The 10,645-nt window shown below is 40.2% G+C and overlaps 1 long non-coding RNA gene across 1 annotated transcript; it reads left to right on the top strand.

The window, feature by feature from the left end:
- Positions 1–521: 521 nt before the first annotated feature.
- Positions 522–9,561, top strand: LOC112268036 (uncharacterized). Its single transcript, XR_002956847.2, has 2 exons — positions 522–899; positions 9,109–9,561. It is a non-coding gene; the product is annotated as an uncharacterized LOC112268036 (long non-coding RNA).
- Positions 9,562–10,645: the final 1,084 nt, after the last annotated feature.

Genomic DNA, 10,645 nt, shown 5'->3' with positions numbered 1-10,645 from the left:
ACACTTTTAATATCAATGCCTTTAAGAATGACAATCTTGACCAGATATGGTGACTAATGTCTGTAATCCCAGCACTTTGAAAGGTTGAGGCAGGAAGTTTGCTTGAGGCCGGCAGTTTGAGGTCAGTCTGGGCAATATAGTGAGATGCTGTCTCTACAAAAAATTTTTTTAAAAAGTCCGGTATGGTGACCTGTGCTCGTAGTCCTAGCTACTTGGGAGGCTGAGGTGAGAAAATTGCTGGAGCACAAGAGTTTGAGGTTAGTGAACCATGATCATACCACTGCACTCCAGCTTGGGCGACAGAGCTAGACTCTGCCTGTTTTTTTTTTAAAAAAAAAAAAAAAAAAAAAAAAGAGGACCTTCAAAATTGCTTCCATCAACAATTACCTTTGCAAACTTTCCATCAACAGCAATGCTCCTAGCAAGAACATCTTTTGCAACAATGCTTTTAACATATCTCATTTTGCAACATAGAAACAAATGCAGTTAGGAACAGCATCCTTAACAACAACTTTCTTTACAACGATATTAACACAAGAGTCTTGCAACACCCTTAACAACAAGTTTCCTTTGCAACAGGGCCATAACATCAACACTCTTGGTAATTGCATTGGTACCAAAACTTATCTGTGACAATATCTTGAACATTAATGCCTTTAAGAGAAATGCTCTTAAAAATATCTTTAGCAAGCATTTCCTTAGCAAACACGCTCCTAGCAACAGAGAGTAAGTTTTGTAAGGGCATGTGAATATGAAGGCAGAGACTGGAGTGATGCCAAGAAATGTGAAAGATTTCCAGGAACCATCAGAAGCAAGGAAAAACGCACGGAAAAGATTCAGAGTGCTCAGAAGGAAGCAACCCTACCACCACCTGATTTGGACTTCTAAGCTCCAGAACTGTAAGATAAATTTCTTTTGTTTTAAGCCACCTCGTTTTTGGTACTTTGATGTGACAGCCCTAGGAAACTAATACAATTCTCTTAACAAAAAGGCAACAATTTCCTTAGCAATAATAAACTTAGAAATAATGCCTTCTCAATAATGACTTTGCCAACAATGGCCATAGCAGCCACACCCTCAGCAAAAGCAACTTAGTGCAGATTTCTTAGCAAAGCACGCCAAAACACACTAACAAACATACTAAGAAAACACAAAACACACTAATACTAACAAAGAAAGTGCCTTTCTAAAAACTGCCTAACATCAACAATCTTATCAACACATTTCATAGCAAAAATTTCCTTAGCACCTTTGCCCCTAGCAATGTTGTCTTTAGCAACAGTTTTCGTGGCAGTAGTGACCATCCAACCTTGATTTAGCAAATGCATCCTTAGCAAAAACTTTCTTGCAACACCACCCTTAATACTAACACCTTTAAGAACGATGTCTTTAGCATAAGGGCCCTCTCAACAATATCATTAGCAAAAGCTTGGCAAAATGTGCTTAGCAACCGCACTCTTTGAAAAAGTTCCATTAATAGCAACATACTTAATAACAATGTCTTTAGCAACGGTGGCCATAGGAATTGCTCCTTCTGCAAGAGTGGCTACTGTAATTGTGACCAGAGCAATAATGGCCATATCAGCCATGCATTTAGTTACAGTGGCAGTAACAACTATGTCCTTGGTGGCAGTATGTGTGGGGAACATTTCTTAGCAACAACACCCTTATCTAAGAGGCCCTAGGAGCAAAATCCATTGCAACACTATATGCAGCAACAATGTCCTTAATTATTAGGTTGATGCAAAGGTAATTGCGATTTTTGCCATTTCAGTGGCAAAAACCGCAATCACCTTTGTACCAACCTAATACAATTCCCTTGGCGACAATCTTCTTAGCAACAACACCCTTGGCAACAAAGCTCTTAGCAATATCCTTAGAAACATTGTCTTTAGCAACATTTCTTAGCAATGGTGCCCATAGCAACAGTTCCCTAGTAACAGCAACCTTAGGAGAAACTCCCTTTGCAAGAGCACATTTAACATCACTGCCTTTAATGAAAAACCACTTAATAAAGAAGTCCTGGCTGGGCGCGCTGGCTCACGCCTGTAATCCCAGCACTTTGGGAGGCCGAGGTGGGCAGATCACGAGGTCAGGAGATCAAGACCATCCTGGCTAACATGGTGAAACCCCGTCTCCACTAAAAATACAAAAAATTACCTGGGCGTGGTGGCAGGTGCCTGTAGTCCCAGTACTCGGGAAGCTGAGGCAGGAGAATGGCGTAAACCCGGGAGGCGGAGCTTGCAGTGAGCGGAGATTGCGCCACTGCACTCCAGCCTGGGCGACAGAGCGAGACTCCATCGATGGCCTGATGGCCTGCAGGTGTCTGTTGGCCTGCTCTTCCGCCAGTGTGCTTTCGATGACCAGCTGCTTGTGTCTTCTTCTGCTGATGTGTTCCTTATGATGTCCAGCTGCTTGTGTCCATGCCTTGCTAAGGTCTCTGGTTTTTATAGGCCCATGATGGGGGCACAGCAGGCCAGGGTGGTCTTGGAAAATGCTACATTTCGGCATGAAAGCAGAAGTGCCTGTCCTTACCTAGGTCTGTGGGGGTGGAGCCCTAGCCAGGGACCACGCCCTCCTCTACCCAGCACTTCCCTTCTCCCCTTCCCTATCATTTAAAGGGACCACGCTCTTCCCTTCCCAGCACTTCCATATCAGTTTGGTACACAGGTAAACTCGTGTCATCGAGGTTTGTTGTACAGATTGTTTCATCACCCAGGTATTAAGCCTAATGCCCATTTGTTATTTTCCCCGTTCTTCTCTCTCCTCCTATCCTCCACCCTCATGTTTCCCTCTGTGTGTCCATATGCTCTCATCGTTTAGCTCCCACTATAAGTGAGAACATGCTGTATTTGGTTTTCTGTTCCTGTATTAGTTTGCTAAGGATAATGGCCTCCAGCTCCATTAATGTTTGCGCAAAGGACATGATCTTATTCTTTTTTATAGCTGCATAGTTTTCCATGGTGTATATGTACTACATTTTCTTTATCCAGTCTATCATTGTTGGGCATTTAGGGTGATTCCATGTCCTTGCTGTTATGAATAGTGCTGCAGTGAACATACGTGTGTATGTGGCTTTATAATAGAATGATTTATGTTCTTTTGGGTATATGCCCAGTAATGGGATTGCTGGGCTGAATGACATTTCTGTCTTCAGGTCTTTGAGGAATCATCACACTGTCTTCCAAAATAGTAGAACTAATTTACACTCCCACCAACATTGTATAATTGTTCCTTTTTCTCCACAACTTCACCAGCATCTGTTTTTTTTTTTTTTTTTTTTTTTGCTTTTTGCTTTTTAATAATAGCCATTCTGATGAGAACACATGGACACATAGAGGGTAGCAACACACACTGTGGTATCTCAAAGGGTGGAGGGTGGGAGGAGGGAGAAGGTCAGGAAAGATAACTAATGAGTACTAGGCTTAATACCTGGGAGATGAAATAATCTGTACAATAACTCCCCATGTCACAGGTTTACCTGTGTAACAAACCTTCACATGTAACCCTGAACTTAAAATAAAAGTTAAAAAAATAATTACCAATTAAAAGAAGAAATTTCAGGTTTTTAAAAAGAAATTGTAACAGTTCTGCTGAACAATGTTTCAGGATATCATTTTCTTTTAGAAAAACATGTATTGTGCTGCTGTAGGGTGGAGTGTTCTATAAATGTTAGGTATAGTTTATAATGTTTTATTATTTTAAAAAATCACCATTCTGACTGGTGTGAGATGGTATCTCACTGTGGTTTTGATTTGCATTTCTCTAATGATCACTGATATTGAGCTTTTTTTCATATGATTGTTGGCCGCATGTATGTCTTCCTTTAAAAAGTATCTGTTCATGTCCTTTTCCCACTTTAATGGGGTTGGTTTTTTCTTGTAAATTAGTTTAAGTTCCTTATAGATGCTGGGTATTGGACCTTTGTCAGATGCATAGTTTGCAAATATTTTCTTGCATTCTGTAGGTTGTCTGTTGACTCTGTTGATAGTTTCTTTTGCTGTGCAGAAGGTCTTTAGTTTAATTAGATCCCATTTGTCAATGTTTGTTTCTGTTACAATTGCTTTTTGTGTCTTTATCATGAAATCTTTGCCTGTGACTGTTCTGAATGGTATTGCCTAGGTTGTCTTCCAGGATTTCTATAGTTTTGGGTTTTACATTTAAGTCTTTAATCCATCTTGAGCTAATTTTTTAATATGGTGTAAGGAAGAAGTTCAATTTCAATCTTCTGTATATGGCTAGCCAGTTATCCTAGCACCATTTATTGAATAGGGAATATTTTCCCCATTGCTTGCTTTTGTCAGGTTTGTTGAAGATCAGATAGTTGTAGGTGTGTGGTCTTACTTGTGGGTTCTCTATTCTGTTCCATTGGTTTATGTGTCTGTACCAATAATAAATTTGTACAAATAAATTTGTACCAGTACTATGTTTTTTGGTTACTGTAGCCCTGTAGTATAGCTCAAAGTCGGGTAGCGTGATGCCTCCAGCTTTGTTGTTTTTGCTTAAGATTGCCTTGGCTATTTGTGCTCTTATTTGGTTCCATATGAATATTAAAAGAGTTTTTTTTATAGTTCTGTGAAGAATGTCAGTGATAGTTTAACAGGCATAGCATTGAATCTGTAAATTGCATTGGGCAGTATGGCCATTTTAACAATATTGACTCTTTTTTTCTCTCTCTCTCTTTTGAGATGGAGTCTGGCTCTGTCGCCAGGTTGGAGTGCAGTGGCACAATCTTGACTCACTGCAACCTCCGCCTCCCAGATTCAAGCGATTCTCCTGCTTCAGCCTCCCGAGTAGCTGGGACTACAGGCGCACAACACCATGCCCAGCTAGTTTTTGTATTTTTAGTAGAGACGGGGTTTCACCATGTTGGCCAGGATGGTCTCAATCTCTTGACCTCATGATCTGCCCATCTCAGCCTCCCAAAGTGCTAGGATTACAGGTGTGAGCCACTGTGCCTGGCCAACAATATTGATTCTTCTTATCCATGGGCATAGAATGTTTTTCCATTTGTTTGTGCCTTCTCTGATTTATTTGAGCAGTGGTTTGTAGTTCTCCTTGTAGAGACCTTTCACCTCCCTTGTTAGCTGTATTCTTAGGTATTTTATTCTTTTTGTTGCAGTTGTGAATGGGAGTTTGTTCCTGATTTGGCTCTTGGCTTGACTTTTGTTGGTGTATAGGAATGCTAGTAATTTTTGCACCTTGATTTTGTATCCCGAGATTTTCCTGAAGTTGCTTATCAGCTTAATAAGCTTTTGGGTTGAGACTATGGGGTTTTCTAGAAATATGATCATGTCATCTGCAAACAGGGATAGTTGACTTCTTCTCTTACTATTTGAAAGTTCTTTATTTCTTTATCTTGCCTGATTGCCCTGGCCAGAACTTCCAATACTATATTTAATAGGAGTAGTGAGAGAGGGCAACCTTGTCTTGTGCCAGTTTCCAAGGGGAATGCTTCCAGCTTTTGCCCATTAAGTATGATATTAGCTGTGGGTTTATCATATATGGTGCTTATTCTTTTGAGGTATGTTTCTTCAATACCTAGTTTATTGAGAGTTTTTAACATGAATGAATGTTGAATTTTATTGAAAGCCTTTTCTGTATCTTTTGAGATAATCATATGGTTTTGGCCTTTAGTTCTGTTTATGTGATGAATAACATTTATTGGTTTGTGTAGGTTGAACCAACCTTGTATCCCGGGGATGAAGTCTAATTGACCGTGGTGGATACGCCTTTTGATCTGCTGCTCAATTCGGTTTGCCAGTATTTTGTTGAGGATTTTTACATCAACATTCATCAAGAATATTGGCCTGAAGTTTTTTGTTGTTGTTGTTGTTGTATATCTGCCAGGTTTTGGTATCTGGATGATGCTGGCCTCATAGAAGGAGTTTGGGAGGAATCCCTCCTCCTCAATTTTTTTGAATAGTTTTGGTATGAGTAATACCAGCTCTTCTTTGTACATCTGGTAGGATTCAGCTGTGCATCTGTCTAGTCCTGGGCCTTTTTTGGTTGACAGGCTACTTATTACTGATTCAAGTTTGGAGCTTATTTTTGGTCTGTTCGGGGACTCAATTTCTTCCTGGTTCAGTCTTGGGAGGGTGTATGTGTCCAGGCATTTATCCATTTCTACTAGATTTTCTAGTTTATATGCATAGAGGTGTTCATAATATTCTCTGATAGTTATTTGTATTTCTGTGGGGTCAGTGGTAATATTGCCCTTGTTGTTTCTGATTGTTTATTTGAATCTTCTTTCTTTTCTTTTTTGTTAGTCTAGCTAGTGGTCTATTTTAATTTTTTCAGAAAATCATCTCCTGGATGTCTCTATCTCCTTCAGTCTGCCTGTGTGCAGTTCTAGTTTCAGTCTGTTTCAGAGCTCAAGCTTGAATACATAAGAAGAAAGAAGAAGACTGAGAAGAAGGAGAAGGAGGGGTGGAAGAGGAGGAATAAGAGAGGAGAAATAAGAAGGAGAGAGGGAGGGAGGAAGAAGGGAAAGAGGAAGGATGATGAGAGGGAGGGAAGGAAAGAGGAAGGGAAGGAAGGAGGAAATCAAGTTAGGCAAATCACCGCTAGGTCATCCTTCAGGTCCTGAGCTCCATACCAAGTTCAGGGGTACATGTGTAGCTATTAAAATGGGAAAGGTTCCCTTGTCCCTTTTGCAGGGCATGTGATGGAGGTGTGGCTTGCTTCTTCAGTGCTTCAGTGCCCCGCTGGTCAAACCTCTAGGGGAGCATACAGACAGGCTGTGGGGCTTCAACCCCATGGCAATGTCTAGGGGTGAATGTTTACTACTCTTATCCAACGTTCAGAGTCTTCTGTTAGTAACATTATGCATTTTGACCATGATTATCAGTGTAATCAGTAGATAAGGCAGAATGTGTCTACTCAATCTGAACCAAACTGGAACTCTGCAATTGGGATGTGTGCAACTGTGCACCTTCAAAATGTCCATGTTGAAATTTTAGAGCAACTGATTAATATGACCAAAAGTACTTAAGAGAAAAGTTTCAAAACACTAATTCTAATTATACCAGCTCTTGTTCTTTTTTATGTTCATGCTTAATATTTTCTTTCTTTATTTATTTTATTTTTTATTTTTTTGAGACAGAGTCTTGCTCCACCCAGGCTGGAGTGTAGTGGTGCAATCTCAGCTCACTGCAATCTCTGCCTCCTGGGTTCACACAATTCTCTGCCTCAGCCTCCAGAGTAGCTGGGATTACAGGTGCCTGCCACCAGTCATAGCTAGTTTTTGTATTTTTAGTAAAGATGGGGTTTCGCCATCTTGGCCAAGCTGGTCTTGAACTCTTGACCTCATAATACACCTGCCTTGGCCTCTCAAAGTGCTGGGATTACAGGTGTGAGCCACCATGCCCAGCCATACTTAATATTTTAATTTCAAATTTTATATATGAATGTATGTATGTGTCAGTATATATATTCTATGTACATATTGTGTGTGTGTATATATACACACACACACACACAGAGAGAGAGGGAGGAAGGATATAAAAATTATATCAAAGAAGAATGTAGTGCTATTTAAACCAAAGAACACACGCACAGCTCTTACTATTATAATCATAGAAAAAAATGAACTGACATTAAAGGGCATTTTAAATGTTCATATATTTTGTCTCTTTTACTCAGCTACTAAAATACTCAAAATGTGGTAAGATTCTCTAATGTTTATATAGTAGAGGTTTTTTGTCTTTGTTTAACTAGTTGAGTTGGATTGCTTATCATACAATTGAGAGCTTCGAATATCAGAACAGTTACTTACATGCCAAAATTGCTTATGAATGTTCTGTCATGTCAAAGTTGTTCCATTACCATATAGAAGTAAACTCTGATCTGTATAGATACTACCAGATGGGTGTGGTGGCACATGCCTGTAGTCTCAGTTACATGGGAGGCTGAGGTGGAAGGGTCACCTGAGCCTGGGAGGTTGAGGCTGCAGTGAGCTGCGATCACACCACTGTACTCCAGACTGAATGACAGAGTGAGACCCTGTCTCAAATGAAAAATAAAATGATATTACTAGAATATACTTGTCTAAACTTTTACTTTGAGAAAACAGAAAATCAAACACATTGTTCTCACGGTGTTAACTTTCAAAGAAATGATCTGTAATTTATCTGGTGGAATTCAATGCAGTTATTTTGTTTATAACATTTTTCAAAAGCTGCGGTTTTCCCTGGGTGTGTGTGGGCACAATTCCATTGTGATAACACTCATCTTTTGCAGAGTGCTGAAAGAGTGAGCCAGGACAGCCTTTTGACATTGAACAAGGCAATTCCCAATCTCTTGGTGGGTGAATGGAGGAAGAGTGATATCCTGATTGATGCCTCTACAATTACTTAAAAATATTTGGACACTCTAGAAAATTACTCTTTTTGGACCATCCCCTCAGGTCCCTTAAATATCTGTGTCCCTTTACTGAGCAGCAATTTGGGTCAGAAAAAATGGGCTCTGAGGATGCTCAGAAACAAAAGTGTTTTGGGGAGAAAGATATGGTTCTGAAGGCCTGGAGAGGCAAACCATGTCCAGAAAAGGTCCCAGATGATAGAACTCCCTGAGTATTCTTGCAGAAATGAATATCCACCAGGCTTCTTCTTTTTTTTTTTTTTTTTTTTGAGATGGAGTCTGTCTCTGTCGCCCAGGCTGGCGTGCAATGGCGCGATCTTGGCTCAATGCAAGCTCCGCCTCCCAGGTTCACGCTATTCTCCTGCCTCAGCCTCCCAAGTAGCTGGGACTACAGGTGCCTGCCACCATGCCCGGCTAATTTTTTTTGTATTTTTCGTAGAGACGGGGTTTCACCGTGTTAGCCAGGTTGGTCTCGATCTCCTGACCTCGTGATCCACCCGCCTCGGCCTCCCAAAGTGCTGGGATTACAGGCGTGAGCCACCGTGCCCGGCCCCTTGTTTTTCAATCACAAGATATGAGTCATTGCAGGAAACAAATAAAATGGAACCAACACAGAGAAAGGTAGAGATGGAAGAGGTAAGACTAAATTCTAGAGATGCTGCTTATTCCCTAAGGTCTGTCCTTTAGCATTTTGTAACATGAGTTAAAGTACATTTGAGTTGTGTCTTTGTAATTTGCATCCAACAGAGCCCTGGCTGTGTTCACTGAATGGATCTAGTCTCTGAAAATTCACCGACATTTTTGGCTTGGCGCTGTGGCTCATGCCTGTAATCCCAGCACTTTGGGAGGTTGAGACGGGAAGATTACGAGGTCAAGAGATCAAGACTATCCTGGGCAACATGATGAAACGCTGTCTCTACTAAAAACACAAAAAATTAGCTGGGTGTGGTGGTGCGAGCCTGTAGTCCCAGCTACTCAGGAGGCTTAAGCAGGAGAATTGCTTGAACCCAGGAGGCGGCGGTTGCAGTGAGCCAAGGTGGCGCCACCGCTCTCCAGCCTGGCAACAGAACGTGACTCCGTCTCAAAAAAAGAAAAAAAAAAAATTTCAGGGGTATTTATGTAGTGACCTGTTATTTGATTTTTCAATAACATAAATCTGTTTCAAGAAAAAGAAATTTTAAACAAACTCTTATGATTTTCTTTCTCCTGAAAATTATTCCAGAACTTAAAAAAAAGAAGAAACAAAACAGAGTAAGTACATTAGCTTTATTCAACATACCATCTTGTCTAGTAGTAAACTACTAAAAACAGTCTCCTGAGTGGAAAAAATATAAATTTTTGTCTATTTAACAAGTAATAGCATCAGTGTTGTCCTGCGTGTTCTCATTATTTTCTCCAAATAAATTGGCTCAATATGCTGCTAAGTATTACCATTTATGTTTATTTTGAAGTTCTATATCTTGTCTTTGCTGTTTCATCTGTAAACAGGCAATTATTGCCTCAATGTGTATTCTGATACATTTTCTCTCTAAATCTATTGTCCAACATCTTGCATATAAAATCTGGCTTTTCTCTCATATATCAAAATCACAGGTCACATAGTCTCAGTGCCAAGAGTTACAAGAACAACTGCTTTATTTCACTCCCATCTCTGTGAATACAAAACTTCAATCTCTAAAGTATTTTGTATCTATTTATAACACTATGTTCCTGGCTTATTATTATATTATTTCATTATTAGTTCTTAAAAACTTAAGGTGCTGAATAATTTTGTGAAATATTCCATGGAGAACTACCATTAAAATAGTGATTATTTTAATTATATTTCATCACCTCATTTCACAAGTCATTACAAAACTTCTTAATTGTTTAAAAATGAATGTACTTGGGTGGGGCACAGTGGCTCACACCTGTAGTCCCAGCACTTTGGGAGGCCGAGGAGGCCAGATCACCTGAGGTCAGGAGTTTGAGACCAGCCTGGTCAACATGGTGAAACCCTGCCTCTACTCAAATTACAAAAATTAGCCGGGCATGGTGGCACATGCCTGTAATCCCAGCTACTCAGGAGGCTGAGGTAGGAGAATTGCTTGAACCCAGGAGATGGAGGTTGCAGTTAGCCGAGATCATGCCACTCCAGCCTGGCCGACAGAGCAAGACTCTGTCTAACAAAAAAAAAAAAAAAAAGGAATGTACTTATCAGTCCAAGGGAAATAGCTATCAAATTAGTCACTGCCCAAGTATACGTCTTTTAGTGAACACAAATTGAGAATTTAGCACTGAATCT

This window comes from Homo sapiens, chromosome 9 (genome assembly GCF_000001405.40).
Source record: "Homo sapiens chromosome 9, GRCh38.p14 Primary Assembly".
Taxonomy (NCBI): Eukaryota; Metazoa; Chordata; class Mammalia; order Primates; family Hominidae; genus Homo; species Homo sapiens.
Note: the sequence above shows the minus strand (reverse complement) of the source record. Positions and strands in the feature narration are given on the sequence as shown.